Source organism: Homo sapiens, chromosome 1 (genome assembly GCF_000001405.40).
Source record: "Homo sapiens chromosome 1, GRCh38.p14 Primary Assembly".
NCBI classification, from domain to species: Eukaryota; Metazoa; Chordata; class Mammalia; order Primates; family Hominidae; genus Homo; species Homo sapiens.
The window spans coordinates 20,101,671-20,125,882 of NC_000001.11; the positions used below are offsets into that span (position 1 = coordinate 20,101,671).

Consider the following 24,212-nt stretch of genomic DNA (forward strand, 5'->3'; position numbering starts at 1 on the left):
CCATCTCCACCAAAGCCAGCAGAGATTGGCATGCGCTGTGTGTAAAGGCTCTGATTTACAGTCTCTCAGCCCCCTTCTCCCACAGGGGGGACCTCGTGACTCCTGTTCAGTGAGCACCTCTCCCCAGTGGCAAGGCACAGCCTCCACTGGGACAGAAGGAATCCAGGCCTAGGGGAGAGGAGAAAGCTGGGACCTGGTGGATTCTGAGGCTGTCCCAGGGACTGACAGGTAGAAGGGCTGCATCAGAATGACCAGAGCTCCAAGAGGAATCAACACGGCTGGTCTAGGGCCTGGACATCTGTATCTGTCAACCAGCTCCCCAGTGATGCAACCGGTGGTCACTTGTGGGACACTGGGAAGGGGTACAAGCCCTGGGGGGCCGTATGGGCCACTCACACATGCTATTTTGTTATTTTGCACCAAGAGATGAGCAAAGCTTACTTGATCTATTCACACATATCCACAGGTATACCTGATGACATCCCCAGAGGCTGAGACAAGCTTTGGTCCTGGTACTAATTTTCCAGGTTTCTAAATTTGGGACTGTGCACTACTCAGGGGTAGAGGGATGGGAGGTGCACCCTCCTAAAGAGTAAAGAACAAAACATCACCATCATCATCCCCCTAATGTGGACATTTTATAGCTTTCTCCTTTAAAAATGTATTTAAGCTGGGCATGGTGGCTCACACCTGCAATCTCAACACTGAGAGACCAAGTGAGGAGAATCACTTAAGGCCAGGAGTTCAAGACCAGCCTGGCCAACATAGTGAGACCTCATCTCTACAGAAAAAAAAAAAAGAAAATTAAAAATGAGCCAGGCACAGTGGTGTGCACCTGTAGTCCCAGCTATTCCGGAGGCTGAGGTGGCAGGATCGCTTGAGCCCAGGAGATCAAGGCTTCAGTGAGACGTGATTGCACCACTGCTCTCTAGCCAAGGCAACAGAGCAAGACCTTGCTGCATATAAAATAAAATGATAAAAATTTATTTAAAACATTTTTCATCTTTTGATAGAACATTTTCTTTAAATGTGTTATGCACCTCTTTGCCTTTTTGAACTGAATACAACGCCTATAATTTGGTTAACCTTTTTAAAATAATTTGGGGTCATTGTGTTAATGCCCTGGCAGTGACGTATTCCTGGCCCAGCAAAAGAGTTGGGGGATAGTGAGATAAACCTTACAGAAAGAAAAGTTGGAACTCAAAATAACCTATGCAACAATTCCAAAATGGTCGATTCTAAGAATCAGTGAACAACTCATTCATTAAATCAGGGCAAGCCTGATTCAGAGAACCTGACAATTCTTTAGTTACCATGTCTCTTTGAGTCATCAGTTCTAAACTGTTGATCCAGTAAATTCAGAATGTTGCATAATTGGTTTCCTGTAAATCAAAGTGAACCAGCTGCTGGATGCTGAGATTACTCAGGTTTCAAATAAACTTGTGGGTTGCAAGCAAGTCATTGTTACATCTTCTGCACAGATCTACAAGCAATGGTCACATTTGTTACTGTCTTAAGAAACTCTATCTGGAGACAGCTATACTGTCCTATTGAACCTCTAGTAGAAGTTCTAAAGAGTCATTTTACAGACTTCCCTTCTACACAGACCTTTTCACATTTTTATGCTTTTCAAAGTGTTTTCAAATCCATGACCCAATTTGCACCTCACAACATCTCATTTTACAGAGTGGAAAACCCAGAGATAAGAGAGAAAAGTGTCTCACCTAAGGTTGCCCCCAAGTTAGTGGCGAAGCCAGAACTTGAACCAGGCTCTCAGATCCTGGCATTTGGGGCAGTCCCGCCAGCCTGAGCTGGTTCCCCACGGCCGTAATACAGAGCCTCTCATGGGACGGGGACCGTGGCTCCTCTGTGCGCCCCAGGGCTTTCCTGGTGCTGGACGCCACTGAGCAGGTCTCAGTGTGGACAGTGTCCCAAGGGCCCATCTTTGAATTTTACTTATTTTATGTGAACTCTCATGTGTCTAAATATCAATAGAAATTTAGTGCCTTTTCTTCTGCTAATAGGTCTTTTGTTATTCATTCACAGGGCCCCAGTGCAGTAAAATAAGAGAATAAAGGCCAGTTGTGGTGGTGCACGCCTGTAGTTCCTGCTACTTGGGAGGCTGAGGCAGGAGGATTGCTTGAACCAGGAAGGTCAAGGCTGCAGTGAGCGGTGATTGTGCCACTGCACTCCAGCCTGGACAACCGAGTGAGACCCCATCACAAAAAAAAAAAAAAGAAAATAAAAGAGTAGAGGAAAAGTCTTTCTCCCTGACATTGACCTGCAACTCCCCATCAACACCAAAGTGACCAGAATGAAAAAGCTCAGGGCTTCTGTACCCTTTTAACAAAGGAAAGTGGGTTTGGGCTTCGAGGGACAATAAATTGTGGGGAAGTGACTAGGAAAGACATGGGGAGCTAATGCGAGATAAGAGCTACTGTAGTGAGGTCAGTTTAGGCAAATTCGTCTTCAAGGATAAGAATCACTCTTCTCTCCTTGGTGCAAGGCGTGGGGGGCACCTTTCTCTAAGTGAAATTATATTTATTTTTATGGTCACCCTCTGTTTATGACAAGCGATACTTGTTTTCCCTATGCCAGAGGGATATGAATTTCCTTCTTAAATAAACCCTTAAATAAATAAATTTAGGCCAGGCGTGGTGGCTCACGCCTGTAATCCCAGCACTTTGGGAAGCCAAGGCAGGTGGATCACCTGAGGTCAGAAGTTCGAGACCAGCCTGGCCAACATGGCAAAACCTTGTCTCTATTAAAAATACAAAAATTATCTGAGTGTGGTGTTGGATGCCTATAATCCCAGCTACCGGGGAGGCTGAGGCAGGAGAATCACTTGAACCTGGGAGGCAGAGGTTGCAGTGAGCCAAGATGGTGCCACTGCACTCCAGGCTGGGCTACAGAGCAAGACTCTGTCTCAAAAAATAAAATAAAATAAAATAAATTTAGATTAAGTGAAAAAAAAAAACCCAAAAGCAAATATTCAACCAGGCCTCAGGAAGGTGACCTGTGGCAAGCTGAGCTCTGAGCATAGTCCTCCTCCATCTTCTACTTGACAGATGAAACCTCGCAGGCTTGGGTGCAGGTGATCTAGAATGTGGTCTCTAGTTTGGCAGCCCAGGGAGCCGTGTCTACAGAGGATGGACAAACCTTGGTGTGAACAGCTGCTCCATCCCTGGGTTGGCAATGGAGACAGGTCTCTGTCTGCTCCAGGTGCTGCGAGTAGGGGAAGTGGGGATAGTGGGGGTGATAGAGGAGGGGGGGCCTACACGCTTTTCAGCACGTAATCCCTGGCCAGGTGCATCAGGATCTTGGGAAGCCCTTGTTAAAAACTGTCAACCAAAAGAGTCAAACTCTGCAAAATATTTGAAGGATTTATTCTGAGCCAAACATGAATGACTGGTGGCCCATGACAGTGCCCTCAGGAGATCCTGAGAACATGTGCCCGAGGTGGTGGAGGTACGGCTTGGTTTTATACATTTTAGAGAGACATAAGACATCAGTCAATACATGTAAGATGTGTATTGGTTCAGGCTGGAAAGGCGGGACAACTGGAAGTGCAGGTGTCAGAGGCATTAGAACAAGACCAACTCCATCTTGAACAAGGGCTGGGTAAAATGAGGCTGAGACCTACTGGACTGCATTCCCAGACAGTTAAGGCATTCTAAGTCAGAGGATGGGATAGGAGATCGGCACAAGATATGGGTCATAAAGACCTTGCTGATAAAACAGTTTGCAATAAAGAAGCCAGCTAAAACCCACCAAAAGCAAGATGGCTACAAAAGTGGCCTCTGGTTGTCCTCAGTGCTACACTCCCACCAGCACCACGACAGTTTACAAATGCCATGGCAACGTCAGGAAGTTACCCTATATGCTCTAAAAAGGGGAGGCATAAATAATCCACCCCTTGTTTAGCATATCATCAAGAAATAACCATAAAAGTGGGCAACCAGCAGCCCTCTGGGCTGCTCTGTCTATGGAGTAGCCATTCTTTTATTCCTTTACTTTTTTAATAAACTTGCTTTCACTTTACTCTATGGACTCACCCTGATTTCCTTCTTGCATGAGATCCAAGAACCCTCTTTTGGGGTCTGGATCCAGACCCCTTTCTTGTAACAGAGGCTTCCAAGTCATAGGCAGATTCAAAGATTTTCTGATTAGCAATTGGTTGAAAAAGTTATTATCAATAAAAAGGAACGTCTGGGTGATGATAAGGGGTTGTAGAGACCAAGGTTTTATCATGCAGATGAAGACTCCAGAGAGCAGGCATCAGAGTTAATAGATTGTAAATGTTTCTTATCAGCTTAATAGATCCTGTCTTATGAGTAATTCCAAAAGGGAGGAGGGTTTAATGAGGCATATCTGGCTTCTCCTTCCCATCATGGCCTGAAACTAGTTTTTCAGGCTAACTTTGGAATGCCCCTGGCTGAGAGGAGGGAGTTCATTCCAATGGTTGGGGAGCCTTAGAATTTTATTTTCAGTTTACAAAATACAGGTTCCTGGGCTCCACCCTAGACCTACAGAATCATACTCTTCAGGTTTGGGGCCCTGAGAACCTGCATTGTAAACTTGCTCCCCTGGGTGATTTTTTGTCCACCATAAAGTTTCAGACCTGCTGCTTTTGAAGCCATCCTCAAGAATTCTGGACAGAAATATGGTGATAATGAAGCATTAATCAGGCTGCACATTGGCTCACTTCCATGTTGCTAAAAGTCACAAAGCACTAGATACTGACCCACTTTCATCTCATGTTACTATAGATAGGATTCCTGACACTACAATTGATTGGTATTCCCATTGTTCCTATAGATATGATCTCTGACATTAGAATCACAAGACTGACTAGTTTAAGGATTGCTTAGGGTATTTTTCAAACCCCAAATTCCAACCACCAGCTTGAAGACTCTCACAGAGGAACGAGATCAGCATGAGAATGCATGTTCTTCCTCTCCCTGTCCCGTGACATCAACCTGCACTCTTCAACCATTCAATGATCTCCACACTTTGTCCCACTCCAAAACCCTTAAAAACCCCAGCCCCAAACTCCTCAGGGAAATGGATTTAAGGTTCTCTCCTGTCTCCTTGTTTGGTGACCCTAAGTTTAAACTTCCTTCTCTGCTGCAACCTGGTGTCTCATCGTGTTAACTTGCTGTGTGCACCAGGCAACAGACCTATTACAGTTCCAGTGTAGGGAGCACACTACCTGGGGTGGCGAGGGTCGCACCAGGACCCTGGGCTTAACATGGCTTTTGCTCACTTTTGCCCAGCTTCCACCATTTCTTTCTGGGGGCAGGGGGTGGGGGGACACCAAGTCTTGCTCTGTTACTCAGGCTGGAGTGCGATCTTGGCTCACTGCAACCTTTGCCTCCCTGGTTCAAGCAATTCTCCTGTCTCAGCCTCCCAAGTAGCTGGGATTACAGGCATATGCCACCAAGCCCAGCTAATTTTTGTATTTTTAGTAGAGATCGGGTTTCACCATGTTGGTCAGGCTGGTCTTGAACTCCTGACCTCAAGTGATCCACCCGCCTCGGCCTCCCAAAGTGGCCTCCACCACTTCTCCATGAGTGAGTTACCTCAGGCAAGAAGTTTAACTCATCAGAACCTGTGTCCTCATCTGTACTGTGTGGCCAATCATACCCACCTTCGTTTTTAAAAAAAATCATACCCACCTTGCTGGGTCATGCAGAATGAAGGGTAAGTGAGAAAATGTATATAAGGTTCTTAGCACACGGGAACCCAGAAATTGGCATTTTCCCATTCCCTCTCAGGAAGCCAGAAGCACTATGGCTGAATTTTACTCCCTTCCTTCTGCTCTGCAGTTCCTGGGCTGGTGTTTGGGGCAGGGAGGGACGCTTACCGCAGAGCCAGTGACAGCTGCTGCATCATCTCAGGGCTGAATCCTTGAGGAGGGAACAGGGACAGCTTTGGCTTCCTCTCACCCCAGCCTAGCCCTGGATCCTGGAAGGGGCTCCAGCAGAGGCAGCCCACGAGCAGAATGCACTTTGACCCCACTTCAATGGCCTCCTGAAAGTAGGGGGAGTGTTCCTGGCAGAGGGTGAAGAGCTAATTTCTGATCATCCTGAGAGAAGGCTTGGGAGGTGACAGAATGTCCCTGCCTTTCCTACCTGCCCACCCACCCCTTCCACCCTGTCCCAACCTTCTCACTGGTGGGAAGTTCTCAGTAGGAAAGAGATGAGGGTTTGGTCAAAAATTCCCTTTCAAGAGTAGGTGTTATTGGTTAATTTTACTAATCACAAATTGAGAATCAGAGAAGTAAAACTGTCAGAGGTGTGTGAACCAGAGCAACTCCATCTTGAATAGAAGCTGGGGAAAATAAGGCTGAAACCTACTGGGCTGCATCCCCAGACGCTTAAGGCATTCTAAGTCACAGAATGAGATAGGAGGTCAGCACAAGATACGAGTCATAAAGACCTTGTGATAAAACAGGTTGCAGTAAAGAAGCCAGCCAAAACCCACCAAAACTAAAATGGTCACGAGAGTGACCACTGGTCGTCCTCACTCCTGCCCTCCCATTAGTGCCATGACAGTTTACAGATGCCATGGCAACATCAGGAACTTACCCTATGTGGTCTAAAAAGGGGAGGCATGAATAAGCCACCCCTTGTTTAACATATCATCAAGAAATAACCATAAAAATGGGCAACCAGCAGCCCTCGGGCTGCTTTGCCTATGGAGTAGCCATTCTTTTATTCCTTTATTTTTTTTAATAAACTTGCTTTCACTTTACTCTATGGACTCATCCTGAATTCCTTCTTGCGTGAGATCCCAGAAGCCTCTCTTAGGTCCAGATCCGGACCCCTTTCTTGTAACAAAACCACAAGCCCAAGGTCACACAGCTGGGAAGTAGCCCAGCTGAAAGAAATAGCAGGAGCTTTCCTATCAATCCCTATTCATTCATTCATTCATTCAACAGAAATGTCCTATGCCCCCAGTATTGTTCTAGATGCTGGGAATGTTGTGGTCCTTCCTGTGTCCAAGGCATTCATATTCCAGTCAATTGTTGGGGTGAGAGAAGTGAATTGCTGAATGCTGATTAAGAAAACCATCAGAAAGTGTAAAGCAGAGAATTAAAACAGGGCAGGGAGACTGGGAGTAACCAAGGGTGGGAGGTAGTTGCTTTCGGTTGGGAGGGCAGGGACATTTTTTTGGAGGGAGAAGCAGTTCAGCTGAGCTCTGGGTGAAGAAGGAGCCCGTCTTGCCAAGACCCAGGGGAGGCTTCCCCCAGCAGAGGCCCCAAGGTGAACGGGGCTTGGCCAGGAACCAAAAACTGAAAGGGACCAGAGAGGAATCCTCATCCTGCCTTCTCTGACCTTGCTTTGAGCTTTTACAAACTGCTTTAAAAATCTCTTCATTTTAAATTAAAAAAAAAAAAAAATAGGGGACTCTGAGCTCTAGAGAACAAGCCAGGCCAGCCAGTGGGAGACATGGGCTATTCAGCTTGCCCTGGTGCCCTGAGGTCAGGATGACCCTCCAGCTGACCTCAGTCAGGAACCCCAAGTGTGAATGCCCCCTAGTCCTCCTCAAGGGGACACTGAGATAGGGTGGGGAGGGGGTGGCAGGAGCCCAGCCCCTCCTGCACAACAAAGCAAGGCAAGGATGTGGGGAATGAACATGGGCATTTGGAAGCAGGATCCAGCCAGAAAGACAGGCAGGGCCTTGGAGAAGTCGTCCCTGTCACTTTGTCCCTGGGCTGGGCCCCCTGGAGGTGGAACCATGCATTCCAGGTGGCCTGAGGCTTGTACCCACCAATGGGTAGGTTTCTGCCTTTGACACACATCACCCCCACCTGGTAGTCCCTGGGTGTGGCTAGTCCCCCGATAGGAGCACCCAGGGGTGAGTCAGGGACTGTCTCAGTCAAGAGTGTGGGAGATAGACTGGGACATGGCCCTGGAGCCAGAGATACCTGGGTTCGAATCCCAACCCTGCCACTTATCAGCCAGTGACTCACCCTTGGAGTTTCAGTTTCTACAGCTGTCAAATGCAGTAACAGTACCAGCACCTCAAGGTAGGTAAGAGGAGGGGTGAATGGGCACCACAGGTGTTCCGTGTCCACTCCACTTCCCACACTGGGCAGAGCCTAACCCCAGAGGGAACAGGAAGCACAGTGGCTGCCTCTGCCATCCAGGAGCACTCAGAGGGGTGAGTGGAGAACAGAGGCTCTCCTGGGAATTACTCCTTCCTTGCTGCCTCTTGTCCAATTTCAATCATTGGACACTGATCCAGGACAAGAACTTGCAGGGTGGGACATTCCAAGTCCTGCTGCCTGAGGCCCCACCTGAGCATCTAGCCTCCTAATCTAAATAAATCCCATGTCTTTACCAATCTGAGATTCATTCATTATTCATTTATTTGTTCAACAAATCCCTATTGATCACCTACTACATATCAAGCCTGCCCTGGTGATAAGGTGGTCACAGATGGGAGCACCCCAGGCACAGCTCTGCTCCCAGCCAAAGTGAGAGCGGGTTGCAGTCCCTGGCTCTGGGCTTGCTCGCCCAACACAAATTCCATCAGCTACCCAACCCCTCAGGGACATTGATCCTGTTCCGTCTTGGGGGTAAATAAATCCTAATGAATCTAAACCAACCAGGCTCATCCCATTGTCTTGGGTAACCTCTGGGTTAGGGCGGCCTGTCCTGAAGAGAAGTCGGTGGGTGGTGCTGGGGGGCTTATTAAAAAGACAGAGGAGGCCGGGTGGGGTGGCTCACACCTGTAATCCCAGCACTTTGGGAGGCCCAGGCAGGCGGATCATGAGGTCAGGAGATCGAGACCATCCTGGCTAACATGGTGAAACCCTGTCTCTACTAAAAATACAAAAAATTAGCCGGGCATGGTGGCGGGCGCCTGTAGTCCCAGCTACTCGGGAGGCTGAGGCAGAAGAATGGCTGGGAGGCAGAGCTTGCAGTGAGCTGAGATTGCGCCACTGCACTCCAGCCTGGGCAACAGAACGAGACTCCGTCTCAAAAACAAACAAAAAAGCAAACAAACAAACAAACAAAAAGACACAGGAAGAGAGGAAGACACAGCGTCTCCTTGGCTGGATGCTGTCACGTCCTGGCCTGCGGGCTGGCATCATGGTTGCCAGCTTGGAGCTGTGAGGGGAGTCACCTAGAGGGCAAAGCCAACACACAGAGGTGGCTTGCCAGGAGCAGGAAGGAAACCAGGCCCTGATGATATCAAGCTCCGAAGAGCCAGACTTGGAACCACCTCCTCTCCGAACGTCTCATCATGTGAGATCATAAACGCCTGCATTGTTTCAGCCCAATGAGTCACAGTTTTTAGCTGGAAGCTTCTTAACCAATACAAACGTGATGCGGCGAGGGAGCGGAGCAAGAAGAGGCTGGGGCGAAGCTGTGGCTCTGCCTTTCTTGGGTTGTGGGACCTCAGGAGGGTCCTCAATTATAAAATGGGGATCGTAATGGCTAAGTCAGCCAACATGAATATTAAGAGAGATGTTGCTGCAAAGCCATAGGGAGCTATTGGGCCAAATTTGGTAGACAAATAAGAGTCATCAGCTCCCGATGGTGTCTCTTGAGTAAATGCATCCAGTGTCACTGAGAGAAGACTTGGCGGGAAAGGAGGAGGACACTTTCTCCTCCTGATTTCTCTTGGGGGTGACTTTAGATCTGGTCACTACGAAACAACAACATTAACCATGCCGTTAACATTTAAAGTTAATACCCTGTGCCAGGTGCCTGCTGTGCTAAGAATTTAATCTACGCTAATCTTATTTAATACAAACATGAACACCTTCTTATTCTCTTCTTTTTAAAAAATTTTCAGTCCAGTGCAGTGGCTCACGACTGTAATCCCAACATGTTGGGAGGCCAAGGCAGGAGGATCACTTGAGCCCAGGAGTTTGAGGCCAGCCTAGACAGCATAGTGAGGCCCCATCTCTACAAAAAATACAAAAATTACCCAGGTGTTCGGGTGCCTGGCTACTCAGGAGGCTGGGGCAGGAGGATCACTTGAGCCATGGAGGTCGAGGCTGCCGTGAGCCACGATCATGCTGCTGCATTCCAGCCTGGGCAACACAGCAAGACCCTGTCTCAACAACAATAACAAAAAAAAATTCTTATTTTTTGTAGAGATGAGGTCTATGTTGCCCAGGCTGGTCTCTTCTTATTTTCATTTATACTTTACATGCAGAGAATGTTTCCTCCTGTAAGGTACATGGTTAGTCAGTGATATAAGTGGAATTTTTTTTAAAAAAACTAGACTTATTTTATTTTATTTTATTTTATTTTATTTTATTTTATTTTATTTTATTTTATTTTATTTTTTGAGACAGAGTGTCACTCTGTTGCCCAGGCTGGAGTGCAGTGTCGCGATCTGGGCTCACTGAAACCTCTGCCTCCCAGGTCCAAGTGATTCTCCTGCCTCAGCCTCCTGAATAGCTGGGATTACAGGCACCCACCACGATGCCTGGCTAATTTTTGTATTTTTAGTAGAGACGAGGTTTTGCCATGTTGGGCAGGCTGGTCTTGAACTCCTGACCCCAGGTGATCTGCCTGCCTCAGCCACCCTAAGTGTTGGGATTACAGGCATGAGCCACCATGCCTGGCCTAGACTTTATCTTTATATGGCAGTTTTAGGTTCACAGCAAAATTGAGAAGGTATGGAGATTTCCCTACCCTGTTCCCCCACACAGGCACAGCTGCCCCCATGGGTATCCCTACCTGGAGTGGTGCATAGAACTGGAATTTGAACCCAGCGCCCACAGTCCTTCATTCCTATGACACCACTTCACATGAGTCACCACATCTCAGAACTGCTCAGTCAGCTGAGGCACAGATGGTGCCACAGGCCCAGAGTGTGGGTGACTGCAGGTGCCTCAGCCCCCTGGCTGGAAACAGCTAGCCACACACAAATGGCAGATTGGGAGTCCTCATAGGAAAAAGTTGTCCCTCTTCAGTCTCTTTCCTTAGAAGCAGAGCCTGAGACAAGGATTCTTGTGCAAATGCTTTACTGAGGGAGTACTTTCTGGAGAAACCTGTGAGGGAACCAGGAAAACTGGATAGGCCAAGGGGTCAGACCAAGCAGAGAGGTGGTTCCAGGAGAGGCCTGGCCTCAGCCCGATCCCAGGAACAATTTGAGAGTGTCATTCAACCCAGACAATCCTGCACAGACACGGGGGAGCTGGCAATTGTACCCTCCATGGTGTCACTCTCCTGGCCATGAGTGACAGGTGGCCTCTTGGTGGGAGAGGTGGGGCAGGGGGAAGGCAGCTCCCACTAGACCAGGGCAGTATTTAGGGGAAGGAGGCAGATTGGAGCAGTTGGCTGCCAACACCTGGCCTCACTCAGGGAGAGGGGCCTTGGGCCTGGATGATATCTGGGTGAGGTACCCACACCATCTGCTGCAACCTCTGTGTATCCATTATGGGCTCACGCCATTCACAGGCATGAATTGAGCACCTAGTATGTGGGAAAACAGGGGAAACAGAGATGGCACAGACATGGTCTCCATCCTTCGGGGGCTCCAGTCTAGTTGGGGGAGATCAGAGAAGTTCCATTTGCCACTCTAGGCCAAGCTAGGTAAGCGGCAGAGCCATGAAGCATTGTGGGAGCTTGGAGGAGGGAGTGAGCCCTTGCAGTCAGGGAGAAGGAGTCAGCCTGGGGAGACTTCCAGAAAGTAGCCCTTTGACCCTGAGGAGGTGGGGATCAGTCGTGATGAAAGTAATAGCCATTCAGTAGCCCCTTGTAATTCACCCTGAGCCAATGCCTGGAGGCAGGAGAAAGTACTCAAGGCTCTGGTGCCTGGAGCCACAAGACCTGGCGGCTTTGTCTAGGCTTCACCCAAGAAGGATTTATGGAGCTCCTTCTTGGTTCTGGTGTTGCTTTGGGCACCAGGGATGCAACTGAGTTTAAGACAGGCATGGCCTCCACCTGCAGGGACTTCAGAGCTTGCCTGGGGAGAGGGTCACATGGCCAGACTGTGCAGGGTCCCCAGTGCCTATGAGAGGCTTTATCTTAGGACAGTGGAGGGCCTTGAGGTTTTAAAAGATAGAGCCACATGGACAGAAAGATCAATATTGCCCTTTATAGTGGCTGCTGCGGTTGTAGCTCCGAGACTATATTGGAGGGGGTGAGGAAGGACAAGGGGGCCAGCAGGTGGGGGACAGCGGCAGACCCCTCCCCCACCCCGATGCTTTGGTCCAAACACCACCTCTGAGGGCTCCCTTGCTTGGGCTTCTCCCAAGATTCCCATCCACCCTCAGAGGACACAGCTACTGCCTCAACTGGGAGGATTCGGAAAGCTTCAGAAGGTCAGAAGGCATTGGTAGAGGGTTCCGGGGGAGGCTGGGACTACCTCCCCCCGGAGTGTTTGAAAAGCCAGGCTGGTTCAGGTTAGATACTGAGGTGGGGATGCCAGAGCTCCATGCTGAGGAACAGGGTAGAGGGTGTGGGCTTCTAGCACCCAGGGGTCTGCCCCCGGCAGTGGGGCCGCCAGTAGAAACGCAGTCGCTTCTGGTAGGTGTCCAGGTTGCGCTTCAGGCAGAAGGCCACCTCCTTGTCACAGGCACACAGCTGCTGCTCACACCAGCTTCCCTTGTCAGCTGTGGACGGAGAAGGGGGAGCTATGTGTTTGTCCTTTTCCGAGACAGAGGCAGGTATGAGTCTAGCAGCCTCTGAAGTCAGTGCAGTTCCTACTCAGTCGTAGAGGTACCGGTCCCAGCAACCTCGATTCTAGCTGCATGACTTGGCCACGTACCGTGACCTCCCTGTGTGCCATTGCACCTTCAGTTATTTATTCACCCATTCATTAAACAATTGTTGAGCACCTACCGTGTCACGGCAGGAGAGGACTGAACGATAGGGACATGAGAGAGGGGCAGGTATTAGAGCACCACAGGGAGGAAAAAAACAACTATGCAAAGTTAACATGAGGAACCATGCAGGGCTAGGAGATCAGAAAACAGGGTGGAAGAGCCTTTTGAGCTGAGATCGGAAGGGTCTGCTCTTCCTGGAGGAAGCTGGGGTTTGGGAGTGGGGGATGGCAACAGTCTATGCAAAGACTCCCGGGCAGGAGGGATCACAGTTTCATTATCCATGAAGCGGGGATAATGGCAAGAGTTGCCTAGGGGGCTGTCATGAGAGTTAAAGTAACAAGACAAGGCACTTAGCCTATAGTAAGTGCTCAATAAATGTTGGATATTATTGTTACTATTATTATGAAGCCCTCAATTAACAGCAGCTGCTGTGATGAGCCCTTTAGATTCCCAGCCCTGAGGACCTGCTACATTTCTATGCTTGTGATGCTGGAAAGGATGTAGGGGCCAGGTGCCCTGGGTTCCAGCCCAGGCTCTGTCAGTTGGAGGCAGACACTTCCCCACTCTAGTTTTGGTTTCCTGGTCTGTACAATGGAGATAATCAGGGTTTTGCCGATCCTCGACAGGCTGCCACGAGCATCAGTGATGATGAAAGTAACAGCCAATCAGTAGCTCTGTGTAATTTATTATGGCAGGCATCCTGTGAGGCCCATTCTGTCTGTCTCATTTTAGCTCTTGCAATAACTTAATGGGGTAGATTACAGATGAGGATACTGAGGTTCAGAGAGGTTAAGCAATGTGGTCACCAAGCTGGTCAGTCGTGGGCCTGAATTCCAGGTGCTAAAGGGGCCAAACCTCCCATGGGTCCTCTCCATACCCCCATACCCATTCTTGCCTCTTCACAGCCCAACTGCAGCCAGTGGACCCATGCAAAAAAAAAACAGAGAGGTCAAGTAGCTGTGCTGTGAAGGCAGTGGGGGCCAGATCTCCCTTCCTGGGGTCTCCAGCTCCTGCCCTGAGGTCTGCGTACTCACAGCAGTGGATGTTCCCCTGGGAAAAGTTGTATCTGTAATAGTCCTTGTAGATGCTGCACCCCTGGGTCTTCAGGTGGTCATAGCAGCAGTCATGGGTCTGGCAGCACCTGGAGCAGACAGGGTGCACAGCTGCATGGGTCCCCAGCCTACTGGGGTCTCTGGCTGCTCCCCCTACTGGAGAAGAACCCGTGTCCCCACCTGGGAAGAGTCAAGGCCTGCAGGGCTGCAGTCTTCCTCAGGATCATGATGACTAACATTTTTTGAGCGATTCCTATGCACTAGACACTTGCTTTATCTATGCATTCTCTCTTACTCCTTAAAACCACCATGGGATGGAGGTACTCATATTATCCGCTCTTCAGAGATGAAGAAACTGAGACTCGGGGAGGTCAAGACACTTGCCCAAGGTCACACAGCCTGTAAGTGGCAGATCGTGGCAGTGTCCCCAGGCCTGGCTGGCTCTCACCGCTCCTCTAGCTGACTCCCAGGGTTGTTATGAAGATCAAATGAGATAACAGAAAAAAAGAGGTGGTGAGGGGGCTTTAAAAACCAACGTCCATTGCAGTGGGGAGTGAATGTGGGCATTGTCACTAGAGTAGGGGATGGGAGTGCAAGGGGGCGTCTGGCCTTCAGGGACCCTGGGGAACCTTCTGGAAGGCAAGCTCCAGGAGGGCTGGGACCGTATTGGCACCCAGTGGTATTTAGCACATAGTAGATGCTCAACAAAATGGATTCAACTCAACTAAATGAACAGGTGGGTGGAGAGAAAAGAAGAGTACCGTAGTCGGGGACAGTATAGGATTGCCAGCCCTGAGAAAGGAGTTACCAGTCCGTGGCATCTTTGGGTTGGCCTCTGCCACCTAGTCCGCAGTGACAGCCGTAGGGCCAGTAGGAGAGGATGGGCATTTTCCCAGTCACTTGCTTGACCATCTTGTTCAGGTTCAGGATCCCGCCCTGGATTGGAATCACACCTGCCAAGCAGCCCAGCAACCAGGAGAGAAGAGGAGATGAATTTCAGGGCAGCGCCAATGGGCACAGGACGGCACCTCTGCTCTGCCCAGACCAAATGAGTGACCTCAGATGATGATAATAATAAAACGACATCTACTACTGCTATTAAAAATATAGCGACAGGCCAGGCACAGTGGCTCACGTCTGTAATCCCAGCACTTTGGGAGACAAAGTCTTGCTCTATTGCCCAGGCTGGAATGCAGTGGCATGATCTCGGGTTTGAGAGGCCAAGGTGGGCAGATTGCTTGAACACAGGAGTTTGAGACTAGCTTGGGAAACATGGTAACACCCTGTATTTACAAAACATCAAAAATTAACTGGGCGTGGTGGTGGACACCTGTCGTCCCAGCTACTTGGGAGGCTGAGGTGGGAGGTGGAGGCTGCAGTGAGCCGAGATCTTGCCACTGCACTCCAGCCTGGGCAACAGAGTGAGACTTTGTCTCAAGGAAAAAAAGTGACAATTACTGAGTGCTTACTATAGGTCTTCTTTTGTATTGATTTCTCGACTCCATCTGGCTGGATAATTACTGTCATATTAAATAAATAAACTTTTTATTTTGGAATAATTCCAGATGTACAAAAAAGTTGCAAAGATAGAAAGCTCCTGTATACCCCTCAGCCAATTTCCTCAAATGTTATCATCTTACTTGTGATTCATTTGTTAAAACCAACACTGGTACAATGAATATTATTTTTAAACCCTATTTTACAGATGAGCAGTTTGAGGCTCAGTAACTTGCTCAGAGTCTTAGTGGCTGGTAAATGGAGCCAGAATTCATCATTTACAACAGTCTGGTTTCATTCTCTGTCTCTGGGTGTTGATTTCCCACTCCATAATAGGAAGAATGGTCCCAAGTCACCCTTCTTACCTCCAGCCCCTAGAAAAATCTGAGTCTGTAATAAAGAGAGTGTGTGGGTCTTCTGGGAGGCAGCATGATTTAGAAATCAGTGCTTTTCATGGATAATTTTATTTCACTCATAATAACTGCTGATTAGAATTGATAGTAAGGGGAATTTATTTTACTGGAAGAGAGGAATGCATTATGTTGAGTTAGGAGAAATAAAATATATTAAGTCCATGAATTCAAGTGGGAGGTTGGGAGAAACAGATGGCAGAAGGGAATGGAGCTGTGCCTGTGTGCAACTCCTAGAGATGATTAGAGAATGCAGGGAGCACACGTCCCGATGGAGCCCAGAGTCTCAGGGAGACTGGGCTGGGCAGCCCCTCTTCGAGTGAGTTTACTTATGGAACCCGCACCCAACCTCAGGCAAATGAAGTCAATAGTACACAGTGGGTGAGCCACACATTGGGGACCGTTGGGCTGGGAAGGGTGGTTGGGAGAAACTCATGCAGTGGACAAAGAGTGAGACCACACACAGGTGGCCTTGGGTTGCAACTCAAAGTGACTGGGCCATCATGTCCCCAGTACGTCCCCTCAATGTGTGGGAGTCCATGTTGCCACGCCTGTTTGACATGGTGCCTCTAGCTGTTAAGACATGTACAAGAGAAGACTTGCTAAGCTTTGGCTGCACTGGTGAAGGATCCCGGGCCCTCTGGAATCATACACAATCCATCAGAGATTCCTAGATTCCATGATAAGGAACCCAACTGCAAACGGAGAGTCCACCTTGCAGATCAACCAGAGCCCCGCGTTCAGAATCTTGCCTTTCTTAGGGTACCCCGGTCCTCTTTTTTTTGCCCTAAATATAGCCCTTTCAATCTGGGCTCAGAAATACATAAACTGAACTCACACCTGAATGATGCAGCTCTTTCTTGCCATGTGAAAAATACATTCAGCTTTGATTCAGAATGCTTTCGGGTGGTCTTACTTGCCATAATTTTAAGGTGAGGAGGACCCAGCCTGAGAAACGGAGCTGGAGCTGTGGCTGGGGAGGTGTTGATGAACTGGCTTAGCTTGTCAGCCGTTCTTGCCTGGGTAACTTTTCCTACCCTTGGCTGCCACTGACAGGGGTGAAGCTCCTTCTCCCAAGGGATGGACACAGTGGGTGGGAGGAGGTGCCACTGCCATCTTTCATGCATGTGCCATGTGTGAAGCTATTATTTAAGTTTACTCAACACTTAGTGTCTGTTTTCCCATTAGAGTCCCTCTAACAGCCCTGTGAAGGGGGTTGTACCCATTTTACAGATGAGGATATTGAAAGGTTTGGTGATTTGGCTAAAGTCATACTGCTAAGAGATGGCGGGGCCTGCATTTGACTGCAGGTTCATCTGTGTATTTGATCTCTACAGTGTCTTCCCTCTTTACATCTGAGAGATGAATTTTTGCAGCTCAATTGCAAATTTCCTAATGGTTTTTGCTGTAATCCTGGAGACATGTTCCTCTAGAGAATTTCAGAGTCCCAAGATAACATAAAACTACATTTTAAAATGCAAGTCTTTTCCAAAATCACAATTTTGAGATGGATTGAGGACAAAAAGGCCAATTTGCTAGCAACTGCACTTTATATTTGGTCTGCTTAAGATCAAATGGAAATTGCCCCCTCTTCACCGAAAGTCAAGGGAACCCTCTTCCCAGGTTCAAGGCAGATCATGAACATGAAACGGCTCTAAAAATATGGAGTGCTATGCATTCGTACGGGTTGCTCCTATTCAGTGGGAGAGGTAGGGGTGAAGTGACCTGTGTCCAAAGCGTCATCATCATGGGCCCAGCAGACCCTGGTGCTGGACTTCTAGTTTGAACTTTCACAGCAGTCCAGAGATGTGCAGCACAGCTTGGCCAGCCAGAGCTCTCTGGCTGAAGCTACCATGCTAGGAGACTGACGGCCACTGAAGGCTCTTTGCAGAGGGGCAGAAGGATTGGGGAGTGGGGGCCAGGCTCCTGGGGATCAGAGCAGCAGCCCCCTAATCTGGGAAAGAGAGCACAGGGGTACACTGGCCTCCCTCCTTCCCTTCCCAGCCTGGGTCCCGTCCCCGACTCACCAGCCATCACCACCAGCCCACACAGCAGTGCAAGTTCCATGATCCCAGCACAGAGCAGTGGAGGCAGATGCTGGCAGTCCCTTTCCATGCAGGCTGCCCCCTTATATCAGATGCACCCCACCCAGCCTTGCCCAGCCCTCCCTCCCAGCCCCCACTCTCATGGAGGCAACACATGCTTCTTTCACTTCCACTTTTCTGGCACTGGGGAGTTTTGTTTTGTTTTTGTTTTGTTTTAAACACATTTTTTTTCTATTTATTTAATGTATTTATTTATTTATATTCATATATATATATATATTTTGAGATAGGGTCTTACTCTGTCACTCAGGCTGGAGTGCAGTAGAATGATCATAGCTCACTGTAACCTCGACCTCCTGGGCTCAGGCAATCCTCCTGCCTCAGCTTTCCAAGAAGCTGAGACCACAGGCATGAGCCACTATGCCTGGCAATTTTTTTTTAAGACAAGACTATGTTGCCCAGGCTGCTCTCGAACTCCTGGCCTCAAACAATCATCTCGCCTCAACCTCCCAAAGTGCTGGGGTTGCAGGTGTGAGCACCATGCCTTAGCTTCCCCACCATGCCCTTTTTGATAAAAGAAACATACACTCAGTGTAGAAGATTTGGAAAACCTAAACAATAAACTTAAAATCACCTGCAAACCTATTAAGCACCATTGACATTTTGGTGTACGTCCCTCTGTGGTCCCGTTGCTGCCTGTCTCTCTTTCTGTCTCTCTCTCTCTCCATACTTTTCCCCAACCAAATTAGGAAAATGTTATATATGCAGAGCTTCGTAGCCTATTTTTTCATTTGCTGATATAACTTGCACATATTTCTATGTCACTAAATATTCCTCTCTAGTAACATTGTGAAAGGCAGGTTCCTGGCTGGGCACGGTGGCTCGTGATGGTAATCCTAGCACTTTGGGAGCCCGAGGCGGGTGGATCACGAAGTCAGGAGTTTAAGACCAGCCTGGCCAAGATGGTGAAACCCCATCTCTACTAAAACTACAAAAATTAGCCGGCCTGGTGGCAGGCACCTCTAATCCCAGCTACTCGGGAGGCTGAGGCAGAGACTTGCTTGAACTCAGGAGGCAGAGGTTGCAGTGAGCTGAGATTGTGCCACTGCACTGCAGCCTGGGCGACAGAGCAAGACTCCGTCTCAAAAAGAAAAAGGCAGGTTCCTATTTCATTATACTATTATATATATTATTATACTGCTATACCATTTATCTAATGAAGCCCCATTGATGGATATATGGGTGGCTTCTGATATTTTTTTACTAATCTAGACTGTAGAGTGAAAGAAGGCCAAATTTCAGTCAGTTCATGTCCAGAATTGCTTCCATAGGATCTACTCCTAATGTAGACTTGCTGAATCAAAGCACACACACAATTTGAAGGCAGGCAATTGATATGTGTTGACAACTTACCCTACAGAAGGTCTGCCCTAGTTTACATGTGAGAATCCTAATGAGGCAAATGGGGTGAAGCCGGCCCAACTTGGGTGGAGGAGCTGACGGGAGGACACACATGGCCACGACACAGAGAAGGTCAGCCACTGGGGCTCCACCGAGAACCTTGTTCCCACAGCTTTGATGCCTGTTAGATGGCTGTCTAAGGACAGAATGCCCAGGCTGACCTCTGTTACCAGCAAATCAGCTCATCCAAAAGAATATGCCAGCAGCAGCCACTGCTAGGAGCTTCCCTCTCTCTGTCTTCTCTTCCCTCCCTTTTAAATCTGATTATTGCCTTTGTTCCTTGACTCAGTCAACCAACTGACCAGCTCATATGTGTGTCAACAATCTACATACAAAGTAATTCAACAGCAAGCAAAGCAGATGCCTCTGGCACATTTTTTGATGCACCCCCTCCCATGTAGGCTCAATAGTCTTGTGCACTTACCAGTGTGGTACCTTACCCTATAGACAATCCTCCAGACAGGGACTCTTGGCGGGCCACGTGGCTACCTGTCAGAACTCACGCCACCCTCCATCTGGTATGGAGGGATGGGAGCAAAAGTAGCCACAAGCCCTTTGTTGATTCCAGAAGACTTTTCCCTAAAGGGAGAGAAGGCACCATATTGGTGCTACAAAGCGTCCTCAAAAGCCCCATCTTCAGAGTTACCTCAGACATATCCAGAAGCCCCAGGGCACATCCAACAGGCAAGGTTTGGGATCAGACAGATCTGGTTCAAATCCTGGCTCCTTCTCTTACCAACTGTGGGACCCTAGGCAAATTACTTCACCTCCAGGAACCTTGGTTTCTTCATCTGCAAAATGGGGTCAACAGTCCCTCCCTTCCCTGATGGCTGTGAGATTTAGATACAATGTCCATAAAGCACATGGCACCAAGCCTCACCGATCTAGGGAATGCCATTACAGTAACCACAACATGGGAGGTTAAGAGGACTGGGGAGATGGGATTCAAACCCAGACTGACTGGGTTAACAGCCTGGCCTCCCTGATGTTCTGGCTGTTTAACTTGGAGCAAGCTGATTATTAACTCCGTGTCTTCCTCTTGCTCCTATGTAAGACAGGGGTGATGACAGTACCTACTTCATAGCGTTACAGTGAGGATGAAAAGATGATACTTGAACAGGGTTTGGTCCACAGCTAGAGACCAATAAATGTCGGCTGCAGTGACTCCCGTCCTCCTCCTCCTCATCATCATCATCACCCTCATCATCACTGCTTAAAATAAGTGGAGTAACTAACCTTTTCTCCTGCATTCTCTGATCTGCTGTTAATACTATCCATTGTTTTTTTCCCATCTCAGTGCATTTGGTCCTCTCTATAAATTTAATCTGGGTCTTTTAAATATTTTCTGTGCTTCTCCTTAACATGCTCATCTTTCTTTGTTTTTTCAAATTAAAAAAAAATTTTTTTGAGATGGAGTCTTGCTCTGTTGCCCAGGTTGGAGTGCAGTGGTATGATCTCAGCTCGCTGCAACCTCCACCCCCGAGGTTCAAGCCATTCTTGTGCCTCAGCCTCCCGAGTAGCTGGGACTACAGGCATGTGCCCATGCCGAGCTAATTTTTGTATTTTTAGTAGAGACAAGGTTTTACTATGTTGGCCAGGCTGGTCTCGAACTCCTAACCTCAGGTGATCAACCCACCTTGGCCTCACAAAATTCTGGGATTGCAGGCGTGAGCCACTGTCCCTGGCTTCTTTTATATCCTTAAACATAGAGAATCTACAGTAGTTCCCCTTTATCAGTTTCCTGGCAGTTTCTCTTTCCACAGTTTCAGTGACCTGTGGTATACAGGTCACTGAGGTTTTTTGTTTGTTTGTTTGTTTGTTTGTTTGAGATGGAGTCTCGCTCTGTCGCCAGGCTGGAGTGCAGTGGTACAGTCTTGGCTCACCACAACCTCTGCCTCCCAGGTTCAAGTGATTCCCCTGCCTCAGCCTCCCGAGTAGCTGGGACTACAGGCATGCACCACCATACCCAGATAATTTTTGTATTTTTAGTAGAGACAGGGTCTCATCATGTTGGTCAGGCTCGAACTCCTGACCTCGTGATCTGCCCACCTTGATCTCCCAAAGTGCTGTGATTACAGGCATGAGCCACAGTGCCCAGCCGTGACACTGGCTGTGACTCTCTCTTGAAAGAGAAAGAGAGACCACATTCACATAACTTTTATTATAGTATATTGTCATAATTGTTCTATTTTATTATTAGTCATCATTATTAATCTCTTACCATGCCTAATTTATAAATTAAACTTTACCATAGATTTGTATGGCTCATGTATGAAAAAATGTAGTCTATATAGGGTTGGGTCCTATCCGTGCTTTCAGACAGCCGCTGGGGGTCTTGGAATGTATCCCCTGAAGATAAAGGAGGACAACTGTAGTTATAACTTTCAATGTCCTCCAACTACTAATTCTGTCGTTTGTGTCATTGCTGGGCATTTTTCTATTGTTTGATGGTTTCTTTAGTATAGATTTCCAGAAGTGAAATTTCTGGGTCAGAAGACATAAAGATTTTTGGAGGCTGGGTGTGGTGGCTCACACCTGTAATCCCGGCACTTTAGGAGGCTGAGGTGGGTGGGTCTCTTGAGCCCAGGAGTTCAAGACCAGCCTGGGCAACATGGTGAAACCCCATCTCCACTAAAAAGTTAAAAGTTAGCTGGGAGGTCGGACACGGTGGCTCATGCCTGTAATCCCAGAACTTTGGGAGGCCGAGGTGGGCGGATTGTTTGAGACCAGGAATTCGAGACCAGCCTAGCCAACATGGTGAAACCCTGTTTCTACAAAAAATACAAAAATTAGCCAGGCATGGTCTTGTGTGCCTGTAATCCCAGCTACTCGAGAAGCTGAGGTGGGTGGATCACTTGAGCCCAGGAGGTCAAGGCTTTAGTCAGCCGAGATCGAGCCATTGCACTCCAGCCTAGGTGACAGAGTGAGACCGTATCTCAAAAAAAAAAAAAAAAAAAAGAAGAAGAGGAAGTAAAATTCACGGCACATGGTGATGTGGGCTTGTAGTCTCAGCTACTCAGGAGGCTGAGGTGGAAGGATTGCTTGATCCCAGGAGTTTGAGGCTGTAGTGAGCCACGATCATGCCACTGCACTTCTTTCAGCCTGGGCGACAGAGCGATACCCTATCTCAAGAAAAAAAGGCATTATATAATTTGCATTTGAAGAATTAACAATGAGGATGAATATATAAAGGTTTCCATGGCTTTTCCTTTCTCTGAAAGTCTGTGAATTTGAAACCCCCTTGCTTCTGCCCATCAGCAGGTCTTAGTATCTATTGGGCCTCGTTGTTTCTTGGGACATATCAGCAAGTCTGTGTGTTTTTACTTCCCTGGCAACAGTTGGAAAAACATTGATGATACTGTTAAGCCACAACCTGGCAAGCTCTCCAGGTGGAGGGTGGAAGGGAACAGGAAGGCTATCAGATGCTGAGAGGGGAAACTCTGTTAGAAATAGCTACTGCCGACTGAGTTTCTACCATATGTCAGGACCTGAGTTCTTATGTCATTTGATTTTCACAGCCACACCATGAAGAAGACACTGCTATTCCCATATTACAGGTGAGGAAGCTGGAGCTCAGAGAGGTTAGAAACTTGACCAGGGTCACACAGCAGGTACACAGCAGAGTTTGGGTTAGACCACAGCTCTGCTGGAGCCCGCCTTACTGTGGGGTGGGGGGGGTACTGCCCTAAGAACTCCACATATAATAAGTCTAAGTAGGTACTGTCATAATCTCCATTCCATGGATGAGTCACTGTGTCTTGGAGCACTGCCATATGAATTCTCTTACCCGCCCAGCATAGACAACCGTGAAAGCCAGAAGAGCTGGCAGAGTCTAGAAGTTGGCTGCCCCCACCCTCGCTGCAGACCAGAAGAAAGTGGACCCTCTTTCTCACTTCCTAAGAATACCCCCCTAGGTGACAGCACATCCTCTCAGCCCATGGCAGGAGACCTCCCGTGCAAAGCCCTGTTGACCAGAAGAGTCCCATTGCCCGGGTTCCATTCACCATGAAAGCCTGCCAGAGTGTATCTGAAATGAAGCTCCAAATTCCCACAGGTTTGCAAGATCAGAGGGAAGCAAAGGAGAAGGGCTTCCCCAGGGCGGGAAAGAGGGAGGAGGGAGAGATTAGCTTTTGTGGGAGAGTGACCCACTTTTCTCCACCTGAATCAAAGGAAATGGATTAAACGAGAGTCCCCCCAAATGCCTGTCAACAGTAGAATGGAGAGACCTGTGGCGGTATAGTCAACCGATGAGAACACCATGTCAACAAACCACAATGACACACAAGGACATGGATGAATCCCACAAGCATAGAACGAAAAATAAAGCCAGACACAAAAGAGCACAGAGTGTGAGACTCCATTGCTACGACGTTCCACAATACTCAAGCTCATGTGTGATTTCACAAGTCAGGACAGCGTTCCCCACGGCTGTGCATGCTGATTAGAGGGGGTTACTAGAGGTCTTCCTTCAGGCAGTGCTGCTGATGTTCTGTCTGTTTGGTGTTGGTTACATGGGTGTGTTCGCATTGCAATAATTCATCCCGCTGTTCACTAAGGTTTGTGCATTTTCCTGGATGTATGTTACATTAACATGCATTTGAATGATAATAATGAGGATGAGGATGATGGTTTAATTTTTTTTTTTTGTAGTGCCTGTAATCCTAGCACTTTGGGAGGCTGAGGCAGGAGGATCACTTGAGATCAGGAGTTTGAAACCAGCCTGGGCAACATAGCCAGACCTCATCTCTATCAAAAATAAAAATTATCCAGGCAGAGTGGCTTGCCCCTGTAGTCCCAGCTACTCAGGAAGCTGAAGCAGGAGGATCCCTGGAGCCCAGGAGTTGGAGGCTGTAGTGAGCTGTGATTGTACCACAGCACCCCAGCCTTGGTGACAGCTGAGACCCTGTCTCTTAAAAAAAAATAGGTTCAAACTTCAGCAGGAAGT

At 48.2% G+C, this 24,212-nt stretch overlaps 1 protein-coding gene across 2 annotated transcripts, besides 2 other annotated features; it reads right to left on the reverse strand.

Annotated features, from left to right (window-relative positions):
• Window positions 937-1,106: an enhancer, noted in NCBI's record as "experimental_1667 CRE fragment used in MPRA reporter constructs". NCBI's record gives its function as "activates a minimal promoter by MPRAs in K562 erythroleukemia cells, with activity observed for both the introgressed and non-introgressed 1:20429185 variant alleles {active_cell/tissue: K562}" and the evidence as "EXISTENCE:reporter gene assay evidence [ECO:0000049][PMID:34662402]".
• Window positions 7,864-8,013: an enhancer, noted in NCBI's record as "active region_313". NCBI's record gives its function as "activates an Ori minimal core promoter by ATAC-STARR-seq in GM12878 lymphoblastoid cells {active_cell/tissue: GM12878}" and the evidence as "EXISTENCE:reporter gene assay evidence [ECO:0000049][PMID:35858748]".
• Window positions 10,269-17,866, reverse strand: PLA2G2D (phospholipase A2 group IID). Of its 2 annotated transcripts, NM_012400.4 has the most exons (4): window positions 17,789-17,866; window positions 14,663-14,807; window positions 13,837-13,943; window positions 10,269-12,589 (listed from the first exon to the last, which is right to left on the reverse strand). In NM_012400.4, the coding sequence occupies exons 1-4, from the start codon at window positions 17,826-17,828 to the stop codon at window positions 12,444-12,446; spliced, it is 438 nt and encodes a 145-aa protein (NP_036532.1). In that variant the 5' UTR covers window positions 17,829-17,866; the 3' UTR covers window positions 10,269-12,443. The 2 variants fall into 2 exon arrangements, with proteins under 2 accessions (NP_036532.1, NP_001258743.1); NM_001271814.2 differs by lacking the exon at window positions 13,837-13,943.
• Between the last annotated feature and the right edge of the window lie 6,346 nt (window positions 17,867-24,212).